The sequence below is a fragment of the Homo sapiens genome, chromosome 17 (genome assembly GCF_000001405.40).
Source record: "Homo sapiens chromosome 17, GRCh38.p14 Primary Assembly".
Lineage (NCBI taxonomy): Eukaryota > Metazoa > Chordata > Mammalia > Primates > Hominidae > Homo > Homo sapiens.
Window position 1 is genome coordinate 1880163 of NC_000017.11, and position 15691 is coordinate 1895853.

The following is a 15691-nucleotide window of genomic DNA, read 5'->3' on the forward strand; positions in this document are numbered from 1 at the left end:
CTATAGGATGGGGCTGTTAGCACACACAGGAGGAGCTCCTCGTGGGGGCGGTTTTGTCCTATGAGTTGGGGGCTTTCACCATGTAGATGGGAAGGATTGTGCTGTCTGGTAAGTATTTAAAATCCTTTATCTTACTTCTGTGAGATTTGCTGTGATTCAAGCTTTACGCGGGGAAATGCTCTTTCCCCTAACTCTAGGAAAGCAGTGATAGTTTTGATGTGTCTCTGAGTAGATTCTCATGTGTGAGGTCTGTCTTGTATGGATTCCATGTACGCTGATTACATTCACTCTACTATTGAATGTTTGCCTTGTTTTCTATAAAAATCTTCTGTGTTCTTCCTGCTAGTGACACTTGTATATGTCTGGTGTTTCTTTTACAGGCTGATAAATTTGATGGTTCTAGACAGCCCGTGTTGGCTATCAAAGGAGCCCGAGTCTCTGATTTCGGTGGACGGAGCCTCTCCGTGCTGTCTTCAAGCACTATCATTGCGAATCCTGACATCCCAGAGGCCTATAAGCTTCGTGGATGGTAGGTTTTGTGGGGCTAAACAAAGGGTTACTTGAGGCTGGGCTTTGAGAAAAGCTGGTTACAATCAGCATGGGAGCTTTCTGCCAAGCAGAAGCCTTCGTCCCTGAGTGGTGCAGCTTCCGTGTTTCTTGAAGGCATTATGCCTTCTGTGAGGAGGGCTTTAAAGCCCTTAAACGGACAAACCTGTAATCCCAGGACAAACCTAGAGAGTCGGAGGAGGCAATTAGCATGTAAGTGCTGCCTGCTGACCTCGATCCTGCCAAAGGAGGGGACGGCCAGGCTTCAGCAGCGGTGTGCTGAAGGCGCCTTTCTTTCCAGGGTTTAGGCTCTGGGCCTCTGTGGCGTGGGGGAACACATGCTTTCTTTCTCTGTCAAGTCTTTGGTGCCGATCACATCTTCTAGTGTGTATTCACTAGACTCTGATCAAGTGTGGTGAGAACAATGGGCTTTTTGTTAGGATTAGATTGTTATTCCCAAAGCACTCAAGGGATGAGGAGAGCCTGTTAAAATCTCCTCACTGTATCTAGCTTTTTAGGACATTCAAACTCTGTCTTAAAAGAGTACTTCAAACTGAGACACAGGATGCAAGAATTGATGTGGTCAGGGAAAACACTTTCACCCAAGCTTCAATAATTCCCATAGCTGTAGTCTATGGGGGGGAAGTGTGTCAGTTTCCAGCTGTGTCTTAGGATTTAAGCAGCTAAAGAATGAGCTCATTTTACATACTCCTCCTTTGTTTTGAGTCATTTAAACCAATGGCACTGGTGTTTGACCAGTTTCATGAAGCATCTTCTGGAATGTTCATGTCACTGAGCCATCCTCATGAGTAGTACGGTCCACACGTATCTGCCGAACTGCAGGGCCCGTTCATAGTCTGACCAGAACTAGCCACAGATTTGCTTTTTTCTTATTGCTTGATTTTCTTTTAGGCTCTGGAGTTCGACTCCAGGTTAATTGCATTCCCACATTAAAATCGCATTCCCACATTAAAATTGCATTCCCACATTAATGTCTTCATCTTTTACTTGTCAATAATCATGATCCCAGTCAACATAAAAAGCACGGCTGTCCCCAGAATAAAATAACTTGGCATTGATCAAAGACAAGCTCAGTGCATACATGATACCTGGACAAGGATTAGAGATGTTTAGATCTTGGCTATAACAATGCAGAGTTTTTATTGTAAGAAGGGCCGCCTTGACTCCTGACGAGTGATCTTTGGTGGCAAATGTCTCCTTGGAGCTTTTGAAACCGTGAACTTGTGTAGCTAGTAGTGGTGAAACAGATGGATGGGCCTTGCTGTGCCCCTGTGAGGGATTTAGCCGCTTACCTGACAGGAGAAGGCAGCTGTCTGCAGCTCAGGGTAACATCCATTCTGTTAGATGGTCTCTGTTTAAGGAACCTGTTCTTTGTGTGGTTACCCACCTTGGGATGGTATTTGGCCTTTCATCTCCGGCCAGCTCCTCTCCGCCACCACTGTGTTCCCGAGCCACTTTCTCCTTGGCCCCTTTTCCTTCATATCAATTGATGTGTGATCAAGAAGTACAATCAGTTTTCATAATAATTTAATACAAATTAATTTAGCTTCGATATTAGCAAAAGTAAAATTTCACTAAGAAGGTAAATCTACAAGAAAAAAGATAATGCCTTCTGATAAGTTGCTCTGGTTTATAAAATCTTTTGGGCCAGGCACGGTGGCTCATACCTTAATTCCAGCACTTTGGGAGGCCGAGGTGGACAATTGCTTGAGGCCAGGAGTTCAAGACCAGCCTGGCCAACATGGTGAAACCTCGTCTCTACAAAAAATACAAAAATCAGCCGGGCCTGTAGTCCCAGCTACTCGGTGCGTGCCTGTAGTCCCAGCTACTCGGGAGGCTGAGGCACGAGAATCACTTGCCAGGAGGTGGAGGTTGCAGCGAGCCAAGTTGGTACCACCACACTCCATCCTGGGTGACAAAGCAAGACTCTGTCTCAAAACAAAAAAACCACTTTTGGCTTCTGTATCAGGCATAGGAGGCCTTTTATGGAAACACTTTTGCTACCACGGTATATTGGCTGTCCGTTTCCACACTGGTACATTTCGGTGATGATCACCACGCAGCTGCTGCCTGAGAATGAGCATTAGCAGATTAAAGGACTACCCCAGACGGCCACTTTATAGCTTACGGGTTGTTGACTTTCCCAGTTTCTGATTTTAGGCCTGGGGTGGTCTGGCCACTGCCAATATGCAAGGCTAGTTTAAGAAAAGATTCTTTGGTACTTTGGCACTGATTCTCTTCACCACTGGGGGGCATCAAAGCAACTGAGATTCAAAGAAAGGTCATTCCGTTTCTTCAGTAGACTTTGGGCCAGGAGCAGTGCCTCACGCCCTGTAATCCCAGCACTTTGGGAGGCCGAGGGAGGAGGATTGTCTGAGTCCAGGAGTTTGAGATCAGCCTGGCCAACAGAGCAAGACCCCATCTCTTAAAAAAATTTTTTTTTCGAGACGGAGTTTCGGTCTTGTTGCCCAGGCTGGAGTGCAATGGCGCCATCTCGGCTCACTGCAACCTCCGCCTCCTGAGAATTGCCTACAAGTGATTCTCCTGCCTCAGCCTCCCGAGTAGCTGGGATTACAGGCACCCACCACCACGCCCGGCTAATTTTGTATTTTTAGTAGAGACGGGGTTTCACCATGTTGGCCAGGATAGTCTTGATCTCTTGACCTCGTGATCCGCCCGCCTCATCCTCCCAAAATGCTGGGGTTACAGGCATGAGCCACTGCGCCCAGCCTAAAAAAAATTTTTTTAATGGGCCTGGGCATGGAAGTCCCAGTTACTTAGCAGGGCAAAGGTGGGAGGATCACTGAGCTCAGGGGGTCAAAGCTGCCTTGAGCCATGATTGCATCATTGCACTCCAGCCTGGGTGACAGAGTGAAACTCTGACACAATTTTTTTTAATTTAAATATTATAAAAAATATATAATTACGAAGATACCAGCTTCAGCCGACATGACCGTGACCTGTGTGAAAGCTGGGCGGGTGGTGGGAAACCTGTGTCTGTCGCGTAGCAGCAAGTTGCATGTGGAGAAGCAGAAGCATGTCACATCAAGCGCTCGTCATCGTTATTCGTTCACGTTTTCAGGTTTGACGCAGAAGGACAAGCCTTAGATGGTGTTTCCATCTCTGATCTAAAGAGCGGCGGAGTCGGAGGGAGTAACACCAACTGGAAAACCTTGTATGAGGTCAAATCCGAGAACCTGGGCCAAGGCGACAAGGTACCCAGCATTCCTAACCACCTTCACAAAGGGCTGTAAAGTGTGCAGAAGGATGGATTTAGAAACTTGGTTTCCAGCACCAGCTGTCAGAGCCGTAATTCTTACCCGGGGCTGTGACCTGAGCGTGGCATGGGGGTTGAGAATCACTGGCAGAGGGAAGCAGCCAGGTGTGCTCATGGGAATATGTGTTACCCCTCAGGGGACTGGAGGCAGGAGAGTCTGAAGAACTCTTAGAGTCAATTCCTAGAGGGATCTTGGAGCAGGGGTGACAGTCAAGCTTTGTGGTATAATATCACCTGCTTTCGGGTCCACGTTTCTTTCCTGTGATCCTTCCTGCAAATTTAAGCGCCCACATATCAAAAAGATGTTTTTTGAGATGAGCGTTAGTCCGCCTCAGGTCAGACATGAGGCAGTTTCACGGGTGCTGTTCCTGGCTGTAGAATAGTGTATTAACCTCATAGGCTGAGAGCTGCCGGCATTCCCGGACAAGGATTGGCCCTGACATTTGACTTTTAGTTGCAGCTTTTTCCTTTCAGTGTTTGTATTTAATGACCCTCCTCCCATCTTGATCTAAGCCTGTGTTCTGCCAGCAGTTTAGTATTTAGATCATTTATTTCTCCTTTACGCCTGCTCTTTTATTTTCATCATATACAGTGTAGGTTTCATTCCTCCTGTCTCATTTCACTGTATACCCTTATCCATCATTGTCAACAGCAGCTCTTAAGTGCTCTTATAGAACATCTCAAGAATTAAACACTGGACAGATCCTCGTTGTCCTGTCATGGGACACCCACTCTTTCGGTTCTCTGTAATCCCAGCTACCCAGGAGGCTGAGGCAGGTGGATTACATGAGCCCAGGAGTTCGACTGAGCAACATGGAAGACCCCTTCTCTTGAAACAAAAACTTTATTGCTGAAAAATGCTGACAATCATCTGAGTCGTAATCTTCTTGCTGGTGGGGGTTTGTTTCAGGGTTGATGGCTGAGCAGTCACGGCGATGGTTGCTGAACATCGGCGTGTCTTTGGCAGTTTCTTAAAATAAGACAGCAGTGAAGTGTGCCACATTGGTTGACTCTTCCTTTCACAAAAGCTTTCTCCATAGCCGGCGATGCTGTTTGACAGCATTTTACCCACAGGAGAACTTTTTCAAACTGGAGTCTCTCCCTCTCAGGTCCTGTCACTGCTTTATCAGCCAAGCTTATGCAAATTCTAAATCCTTTGTCGTCATTTCAACAATGCTCACAGCGTTCTCACCACAAGAGATTTCATCTCAAGAAAGCACTTTCCTTGCCCATCGTAAGGAGCAGCTCCTTATCCGTTCAAGTTTGATCGTGAGATTACAGCAGTTCAGGCCCATTTTCAGGCTCCATTTGTAATTCTAGTTCTCTCGTTATTTTCGTCACATCTACAGATCCCTCCTCCACCAAAGTCTTGAAGCCTCAGTGTCTACCTTGAGGGTTGGAATCAACTTGTTCCAAACTCCCGTTGATGTTGGGATTTTGATCTCCTCCCATGAATCATGAATGTTCCTTTTTTTTTTAACTTGAGACAGGGTCTCATTCTGTCACTCAGGCTGGAGTGCACTGGCTTGATCACAGCTCACTGCAGTCTCAACCTCCCCAGGCTCCCAAGCTGGGACTACAGGTGCTGCCACACCTGGCTAATTGTATTTTTTGTAGAGACTGAGTTGTGTCATGTTGCCCAGGCTGCTCTCAAACTCCTGGGCTCAAGGGATCTCCCTGCCTCAACCTCTCAAAGTGCCAGGAGTTACAGGTGTGAGCGACTGTGCCCAGCCAACTGTTCTTAATAGCATCTAGAATGGTGAATCCTTTTCAGGTTTTCAATTTACTTTCCCCAGATCCATCAGAGGAATCACTGTGGCAACTATCGCCTCATGAAATATGTCTCTTAGACTTAAAAAGTCAAAATTACTCCTTGATTTGCATGGGCTGCAGAATAGATGTTGTTATCAAGCATGAAAACAATATTAATCTCCTTGTTCTGTGCATCTCCATTGAGCCCTCGGGTGAACAGGTGCATTGTCAATATATTAATCTCCTTGTACTGTGTGTCTCCATTGAGCCCTTGGGTGAACAGGTGCATTGTCAATATATTAATCTCCTTGTACTGTGTGTCTCCATTGAGCTCTTGTGTGAACAGGTGCATTGTCAATATATTAATCTCCTCGTACTGTGTGTCTCCATTGAGCTCTCGGGTGAACAGGTGCATTGTCAATGAGCAGTCATATTTTTAAAGGAGTCTCTTTTTCTGAGTAGTAGGTCTCAACAGTGGGCTTAAAATATTCAATAAACTACACTATAAATAGATATGCTGTCATCCAAGCTTTGATATTCTATTTATAAAGCAGAGGCAAAGTAGATTTAGCATAGTTCTTATGAGCCCTAAGATTTTTGACATGGTCAATGAGCACTGGCTTCACCTTATAGTCCCCAGCTGCATTCGCGCCTAACAGGAGAGTCAGCCTTTCCTTTGAAGCTTTGAAGCCAGGCATTGATTTCTACTCTCTAGGACGAATGTTCTTGATGGCATCTTCTTCCAGAAGGCTATTCTGTCTACGTTGAAAATCTGTTGTTGAGTGCAGCCACCTTCATTGGTGGTCCTAGCTAGATCTTCTGGATAACTTGCTGCAGCTTCTCCATCAGCACTTGCTGCTTCACCTTGCACTTTTGTTATGGTGACGGCTTATTTCCTTAAACCTCATGAACCAACATCTGCTGGCTGCCATCTTTTCTTCTGCAGCTTTTTTTTTTTTTTTTTTTGAGACAGAGTCTCACTCTGTCACCCAGGCTGGAGTGCAGTGGTGCAATCACAGCTCACCTCAGCCTCTGGAGTAGCTGGGACTACAGGTGCACACCACCGTGCCCTGACAGATTTTTGTAGAGACTAGGTCTCACTATGTTGCCTGGCTGGTATCGAACTCCTTGGCTTAGGCAATCATGTTGCCTCTGCCTCCCAAAGTGCTGGGATTACAGGTGTGAGCCACTGCACCTGGCCTCTTCTGCAGCTTCCTGACCTCTCTCAGCCTTCACAGAATTGAAGAAAGGTGAGGCCTTGCTCTGGGTTAGGCTTTGGCTTAAGAGAATGTTGTGGCTTGCTTGATATTCTATCTAGACCACTACAGCTTACTCCATATCAGCAGTAAGGCTGTTTGCTTTCTTATTTGTGTATTCAAAGAAGAGAGACAGGAATACTTGATTGGAGGATCAGTCAGCATACATACAACATTCATCAATATAAGTTCCCCATCTTATATGGGTGTAGTTGGTGGCACCCCAGAACAACTACAATAGTGACGTTAAAGATCACTGTAGGCCAGGCGCGGTGGCTCATTCCTGTAATCCCAGCACTTTGGGAGGCTGAGGCAGGCGGATCACCTGAAGTCAGGAGATCGAGACCATCCTGACCAACGTGGTTAAAACCCCGTCTCTACTAAAAATACAAAAATTAGCTGGGCGTAGTGGTGCATGCCTGTAGTCCCAGCTTCTCGGGAGGCTGAGGCAGGAGAATCGTTTGACCCTGGGAGGCGGAGATTTCAGTGAGCTGAGATCATGCCACTGCACTCCAGCCTGGTGACAGAGCGAGACTCCGTCTCAGAAAAAAAAAAAAAATCACCATAACAGATATGATAATAATGAAAAAGGGCCAGGCATGGTGGCTTACTCCTATAATCCTAGCACTTCGGGAGGCCAAGGTGGGTGGATCACTTGAGGTTTGGAGTTCGAGACCAGCCTACCCAACATGGCAAAACCCCATCTCTACTAAAAAATACAAAAATTAGCCAGGCGTGGTAGTGCACGCCTGTAGTCCCAGCTACTTGGGTGGCTGAGGCAGGAGAATCACTTGAACCTGGGAGGTGGAGGCTGCAGTGATCAGAGATTACACCACTCACTGCACCCCAGCCTGGGCGACAGAGCGAGACTCTGTCTCAAAAAATACATATATAATGAAAAAGTTTGAAATCTTGCAAGAATTACTGTCTTTATGTGACACAGAGACATAAAGTGAGCACCTGCTATTGGGAAAATAGTGCATTTACTTGACCCAGGGGTGCCACAAGTCTTCAATCTGTAAAAAATGCCGTATCTGTCAAGTGCAGTAAAGCAAAGCACAATAAAGTGAGGTGTGTCTGTAGTTGCAGCAGAGACTGTGACCAAATGGCTGCTAAGGCCTGAAATATTTACTGTTTGGCTTTTTACAGAAGCAGCTTGCTGATCCCTGGCCTAAACAAGGAAAAGGTGAATCTAGGCCTAGACACGACTGCCGTGTTTTGAGCGCGGGAGGGATGGTTGATCGTTGCTGCACTGGGTGTTTGTGGTCCGCATTCTGTATTTCCTAGATCTGTGGCCTTTGGAGGGTCAGAGGATCGGGAGGAACAAATCTTTGTCTTTCATACAGTGTTCAAGCAAACAGGAAAACAATTTCACTTTTAATTAACTTAGTGTAATTTAGGATTAACTCTTTTATTGTGAAGGAATTATCTGCCTCAGAACTTGGCTTATTAGAACTTGGCTTATTACCTTCATGGGTTTTGTACTCGGCACATGTGATTTCTAAAACTACAGAATGAATGATTCCCTGTGATCATGTGTAATCTTGAGGATGTAGAAACACTTACCACCTAAACGTAAGGGCAGGCTTTGAGCTGCCTCTCGGTCCGATCCTGGGCGGGCTCGCGACTCCGTGCCTCATGCTGTTCTTTTCTCCCGAAGCCGGACTACTTTAGTTCTGTGGCCACAGTGGTGTATCTTCGCAAAGAGAACTGCATGTACCAAGCCTGCCCGACTCAGGACTGCAATAAGAAAGTGATTGATCAACAGAATGGATTGTACCGCTGTGAGAAGTGCGACACCGAATTTCCCAATTTCAAGTACCGCATGATCCTGTCAGTAAGTAGCCTCGGTAGATGAGAACCACGGTTGTGTTCACGGAGGCCCTCCCGTGTGCCAGGCACTGTGGTCACAACAGTAGAGACAAAGCATTCCTGGTAGGAAGCCCGCAGATGAGTAGGTGTGGAAGAGCTTATCCATCCGCTTTTTCATGCCAGAAAGTGGTGTTGAGATACCCCAGCTGATTCAGTCTTTCATGCACGTCATACAGCCATAGCGTCAGTGACACTTGCCTGCTAACTGCTATGAAGATAAATTAATTTGAAAACGGCATTTATAGACAGCACTAATTGTACTTACACAGCCAATGCCCGTATTTAGTCACTTTCATGTGGATAATCTATTCTCTAGCTTTAGTATAGCTGACTTCAGAGGAATGTGACGGTGTGCTGATGTGAGATTGTTGCTTTTTTGCATTTTAAGAATTGTTTCTTTCTGTTTTAAAAACCTTTTTAAAAAAGTTGTAAAGTTGGGTTTAAAAAAATTTTTTTTTTTTTTTAAGAAACAGGGGTCTCACTCTGTTGCCCAGAATAGAGTGCAATGGTATCATCACAGCTCATGGTGGCCCCAACCTCCCGGGCTTAAGCAGTCCTTCCACCTTGGCCTCCCAAGTAGCTGCAACTACAGCTGTGCACCACCACACCCAGCTAATTTTTAAAATTATTTTATTGTAGAGACAGGGTCTCGCTCTGCTGTTCAGGTTGGTCTCAAGTTCCTGGCCTCATGTCATCCTCCCACCTCAGCCTTCCAAAGTGCTGGCATTACAAGCCTGAGCCACTGCACCCGGCCTTAAGATTTTTATTTTGTTTTGTTTTGTTTTCAATGATAGAACTAGGCGATAATAGCAGTTTAAGAAAACAGTTTAAGGCCGGGCACAGTGGCTCACTTTTGTAATCCCAGCACTTTGGGAGGCCGAGGCGGGTGCGTCACCTGAGATCAGGAGTTTGAGACCAGCCTGGCCAACATGGTGAAACCCTGTCTCTACTAAAAATACAAAAATTAGCCGGGCGTGGTGGCGGGTGCCTGTAGTCCCAGCTACTCGGGAGGCTGAGGCAGGAGAATCGCTTGAACCCGGGAGGCAGAGGTTGCAGTGAGCCGAGATCACACCACTGCACTCCAGCCCGGGCGACAAGAGCAAAACTCCATCTCAAGAAAAGAGAAAAAGAAAACAGTTTCACATTTTTCCAAAGGATGATTTGGCAGTAATATATCAGAAGCCTGAAAAATGTTCATATTGGCCAGGCGCAGTGACTTGTGCCTGTAACCCCAGCACTTTGGAAGGCTGAGGCAGGATGATTGCTTGAGGCTGGGAGTTCGATATCAGCCTGGGCAACATGGCAAGACCCTGTCTCTACAAAAAGTAAAATTAGCTGGCTGTGGTGGTATGCACTTGTCCCAGCTACTCATGAGGCTGAGGTAGGAGGATCGCTTGAGCCCGAGAGGTCAAGGCTGCAGTGAGCCATGATCGTGGCACTGCACTCCAGCCTGGGTGACAGAGTCAGACCCTGTCTTTAAAAAATAAATAAATAGGCCGGGCACGGTGGCTCACGCCTGTAATCCCAGCACTTTGGGAGGCTGAGGCAGGCGGATCACGAGGTCAGGAGATCGAGATCATCTTGGCTAACACAGTGAAACCCTGTCTCTACTAAAAGTACAAAAAAATTAGCCAGGCGTGGTGGCGGGCACCTGCAGTCCCAGCTACTAGGGAGGCTGAGGCCGGGGAATGGCATGAACCCGGGAGGTGGAGTTTGCAGTGAGCCACGATCGCGCCACTGCATTCCAGCCTGGGTGACAGAGCAAGACTCCATCTCAATAAATAAATAAATTAAATTAATAAATGATAAATAAAATGAAATGTTAGCTTAGCAGGACAGTTCTACGTTTAGGCTCATTTTTTGTAAACTATAAACTTTTCATTGAACTAAGATGAAGAAAATTTGTTTTAGTTTGTGGAAACATCAGCCTTTCTGTTAAACTCCACAGCGCAATCTCCCGCACACTTGTTTGATTTGATATTTATCACACGTGTGCGTCATTGTAGTTCTTGCCCTGTGTGATGAGATGCTCTTTGCTTCTTAGAAGGATAGCGTGGGTTAAAGGAAGTGTGAGCCCAGGGTGTGATACCGTTGCTGTGTATTGAGAGCGCTTTTCACTTTTAACTGGTTTCGTCACCTTATTTTTCGTCATAACATTCTCTCTATTAAAAGCCTTGTACCCATGCAAAATGAAGATGTAAAATCGTCAAAATGATGCCTTAAAGAAAAACCACTCGTGTTTCTACAAAGGCTTTTACTTCAGCAAGTGGATTCTTTGAGATCTGCTTTCTTCCTTGACTTTGCCCTGTTTAATGTTACACCACAGCCCAGTGGGAGACATTTGATTGCTCATTTCCTTTGCCAGGTCAATTTGGTGACTGACAGAGGCTCACGGGCAGGCTCTTCAGTTGTCTGGGTGCCCAGCAGTGACAGAGCCGTCTCATGGAACTCCTCCTAGGAACTACAGAGTGGGCAATTGAAAATGCAGAGAACTCCCCCGATTCACTCAAAACCCTTCATCCAAAGCCAGCTGCACCTCGACAGGAACTAATCTGATGGGCCTCTCTCTGTCACCCAGGCTGGAGTGCAGTGGCTCGATCTCAGCTCGCTGCAACCTCCGCCTCCCGGGTTCAAGTGATTCTCCCGCCTCAGCCTCCTGAGTAGCTGGGATTACAGGCACCCGCCACCATGCCTGGCTAATTTTTGTATTTTTCGTAGAGACGGAGTTTCACCATGTTGGCCAGGCTGGTTTCAAACTCCTGGCCTCAAGTGTTCCACCCGCCTTGGCCTCCCAAAGTGCTGGGATGACAGGCATGAGCCCACTGCACCTGGCCCTCTCTGGAAATTATTTTAATAAGTGGAAAAAGAACATTAACCTCTCCCCATCTTCTCAGTGTGTCTTTTTATTATTTCTTTGCTGAAATAATGTAGAATTGTGTTTTTTAGGTAAATATTGCAGATTTTCAAGAGAATCAGTGGGTGACTTGTTTCCAGGAGTCTGCTGAAGCTATCCTTGGACAAAATGCTGCTTATCTTGGGGAATTAAAAGACAAGGTCAGCCACATATTTTATTATAACTTCTATAACTTTTAATGGTTCTCATTCTATAACACTGACCCCACACATTTTTTTTTTTTTGAGATGGAGTCTTGCCCTGTTTCCTAGGCTGGAGTGCAGTGGCGCGATCTCAGCTCACCGCAGTCTCCGCCTCCCGGGTTCAAGTGATTCTCCTGCCCCAGCCTCCTGAGTAGCTGGGATGACAGGCACCCGCCACGATGCCCGGCTAGTTTTTGTATTTTTAGTAGAGACGGGGTTTTACCATGTTGGCCAGGCTGGTCTCGAACTCCTGACCTCATGATCTGCCCGCTTCAGCCACCCGAAATGCTGGGATTACAGGTGTGAGCCACCACACCTTGCCCAACACTGGCCCTCTTTTTGCTGTTTAATATTTTTTAGTTTGTTTCTTTTTGGTATTGTTTGTATACAGTTTCTCAGCCTGATAATTATTTAAGAGCTCATCTGATGTTATCTAATCTTGTCCATTTGGGATGTGCTTAACAGTGAAATAATGTATATAAAAGTACTTTAAAACCAAAGCACTTTCTAAATCGAAGCCACCCGTTTCTCCTGTTCCTATTAGCACATCAGAGCTAGTGTGCCTGAGATGACTTAGGTCGGGAGGTGTCCCTGAAACAACCTGAATTATTACAGGCATGCTTTTTTAACATAGTAAATACCTTCCAGAAAAGTTGAGTCAGATCCTGGTTAAAATGCACGTATGTCAAGTTCCTGGGTCTGTCCTATAAAACAATAATAATAAATGCACATATAAGGTGCCTGCCATTTCAGCCCATCAGATGCAATTCTTATGCGGTGACTTTCTTCCGTAAGGTAACTTTGTCCATTTCATTTTTATAAGTTTGCATTTTCACATATTAGGTTTATTTAATGTACAGAATAGATTGCTAATAATGCTGAATTTAGGAAAGGTAGTTGCTCAGGTAAAACATAAGGAAGACCAATAAAAGCTATGTTTTCTGGGCCACATAAATGGGCACCTTTCTGTAGATGGCTTTTCCCCCGATTTCCTCCAAATTGGTTGGAATACTTGTAAAGGCCACAAAGATGAAAGGCTTTGCCATTTGTTCTGGTGTGTTTTTCTTTTTCTTCCTGTCCCCAGTTCTGTCTGTTTGGGCTCTGCCCTGACTCTTTTTTTAAATTGTCCATGAGAGCTCTCAAAATAGTCTCAACAAATCCTGTTACAGAAATAACTAGAATTGACTTTAAAGTGTGATAGTATCTTTTGTCTGTTTTTACCTGGTCTTCAATTTTCGTATCAGATTTTAAGGCCCGAGTAAGCCTTTCAGGATTTTTATGAGCTTATTATATTTGACTGTTTTTTCTGCCGGTGAATGAGGACATATAGAAACTTCCCCGAGGAACCGTGAGATCCTGGAGTTCGCACTCCACGCCCCTCATCTTGGAAGCATAATGGCAGCCGGTGTAATTTTCTCAAGCTTTAACCCATTGTTTTATTTTCATATCTGAAAGTCCATTTGGTTTGGGTTTGGGTTTTGATCAAGTAACCTTTACAGAAAAGAGTTCTGTATAGCAAAGCTGCTTTCACGCCGTGCGTGACTTGCAAAAAACACTAGGTTGGTGTGAACTATTAATTAGTTTTTCTTTTTTTTTGTCAAAGGTCTCAATCAACTCTGTTAATATAGTTATTACACATTTATTTATGCATCTTTATACAAACTATATTCTCTAATTCTTGTCTGTTTACCAGACTTTTTTTTTTTTAATAAACTTAAATTGCATTTGAGGAGTGAGAGAGGGAAAAGGATTGTTTTTAGGCCTTCCCTAGCCTTTGCGCACCTCAACAGTCTTCTCTGCTTGCACACCAAATCAGTAGCTATAAATACAGAGGCTGAAATCACGAATTATATTGAACTTTCTTCTGAGTGTTTTTCCTTTTTTTCTTTTTTTTGAGACAAGGTCTTGCCTCATCACCCATGTTGGAGCGCCGTGGTGTGCGATCATGGCTCACTGCAGCTTCAAACTCTTGGGCTCAGACAGTCCTGCCACCTCAGTCTCCTGAGTAGCTGGGACTACTGGTACACGCCACCATACCTGGCTTAAGTTTTTTTTTTTTTTTTTTTGGTAGAGATGGGGTTTTGCTATGTTCCCCAGGCTATTCTTGAACTCCTGGCCTCAAGCAGTCCTCCCACCTCGGTCTCCCAAAACATTGGGATTATAGTCACGCGCCACCATACCTGACCTCCTAATTTTTTTTTTTTTTGAGAGTCTCGCTCCATAGCCCATGCTGGAGTGCAGTAGTGCAGTCTCAGCTCACTGTAGCCTCCGCCTCTCAGGTCGAAGCAATTCTTCTGCCTCAGCCTCCCTAGTACCTGGGATTACAGGCACCTGCCACTATGCCCAGCTAATTTTTGTGTTTTTAGTAGAGATGGGGTTTCACCGTGTTGGCCAGGCTGGTCTTGAACTCCCAACCTCAAGTGATCCACCCGCTTCCGCTTCCCAAAGCGCTGGGATGACAGGTATGAGCCACCGTGCCCAGCCTTAAAGTCTTAGAAACTTCCTAAGAGCGTTTTTAATTTTTTGTGTCTAGTAAAGCATACATAACCAAATTTGCCTTTGTAACCATTTTTACGTGTACAGTTTAGTGGCGTTAGGTACATTCACATTACTGTGCCCCTGTCACCACCATCCTTTTCCAGTACTTTTTTAAATAGGCAAATTCATAGAGACAGACGACAGCCTTGTGTTTTCCAAGGATGGAGGGAAGGGGAGAATGGAGACACACTGTTCATGGGTGGCGATTTGAAACTCTGCACATTAAGCAATAGCTCCTTTTCCAAAACCCTCTTCTCCCTGGCCCTGACAACTGCCATTCTACCTTCTATGAATGTGATTAGTGTTTTAATTTTCAATAAGATTCTACTTAAAACAGTTTCATGTAATGTTACCTGTAGATGAGTCATTCCTAAGTAATTTGAAACTACCCAGGAGATGCATTTTCAGAAGTCTTTTTAAAAGTCTTATCAGTATTTGCAAGTTGTCCAGTGGTTTCCATGTGTCAAGTTTTATGTTTGTTTTTGCAGAATGAACAGGCATTTGAAGAAGTTTTCCAGAATGCCAACTTCCGATCTTTCATATTCAGAGTCAGGGTCAAAGTGGAGACCTACAACGTAAGTAAGGGCCTGGGCAGCAGGGTTGGTGGTGGGGAGGTGCTGTTTGTCACCTACGGCAGTGTCGTGACACTCCCTGGCAGGGAGTTACTGTACTCACTGCCAGACCCCGGTGCTGACTTTGCCCAACACAGGTGCTGTTATGATCCCCATTTTCAGATGAGGAAGGAGAGAGAGCTTAAGTGTCTTGTCGAAACAATGGCGGGGGGGTGGGGAATACAATATGGATTTTTTTGTTTGTTTATTTTTTTTATTTTTATTTTTTTTCAGTTAAATCCTAGGATTTTTTCGTCTGTGTTCTGACAAAAAAATTATAACGCATGCAGTAGAGTCATATCTTTGACAAATTTAGATTGTAGAAAAGTATATTAAGTATATGAGCCGGGCGTGGTGGTGTGTGCCTGTGGTCCCAGCTACTTGGGAGACTGAGGCAGCAGTTCAAGGCCAGCCTGGGTAACATAGTGAAACCCCGTTTCTAAGTCAGTCAGTCAGTATATGAAACAAAGGCCACGTGTGGTTAAAACTACCTTGAAAATTCCTGAAATTGCCCATAATACCATATAGTATTTATTTATTTATTTATTTATTTATTTATTTATTTATTTATTTGAGACAGAGTCTCTGTCACCCAGGCTGGAGTGCAGTGGGACGATCTTGGCTCACCACAACCTCCGCCTCCCGGGTTCAAGTGATTCTCCTGCCTTAGCCCCTCGAGTAGCTGGGATTACAGGCGCCCGCCACCATGCCCGGCTAATTTT

The 15691-nt window shown here is 45.2% G+C and overlaps 1 protein-coding gene across 3 annotated transcripts in view, besides 1 other annotated feature; it reads left to right on the plus strand.

Moving 5' to 3' along the window:
• Positions 1 to 15691, plus strand: part of RPA1 (replication protein A1) — a 70078-nt gene that overhangs the window by 50158 nt on the left and 4229 nt on the right. For 2 of the 3 annotated variants that reach the window (NM_001355120.2, NM_002945.5), the window contains exons 12-16: positions 381 to 529; positions 3650 to 3782; positions 8513 to 8689; positions 11671 to 11778; positions 14847 to 14933. In NM_001355120.2, coding sequence (NP_001342049.1) covers positions 381 to 529; positions 3650 to 3782; positions 8513 to 8689; positions 11671 to 11778; positions 14847 to 14933 — 654 coding nt within the window. The remainder of the gene's footprint in view (positions 1 to 380; positions 530 to 3649; positions 3783 to 8512; positions 8690 to 11670; positions 11779 to 14846; positions 14934 to 15691) is intronic. The other variant, NM_001355121.2, reaches the window with a different exon arrangement.
• Positions 2860 to 2909: a silencer, noted in NCBI's record as "silent region_7965". NCBI's record gives its function as "represses an Ori minimal core promoter by ATAC-STARR-seq in GM12878 lymphoblastoid cells {active_cell/tissue: GM12878}" and the evidence as "EXISTENCE:reporter gene assay evidence [ECO:0000049][PMID:35858748]".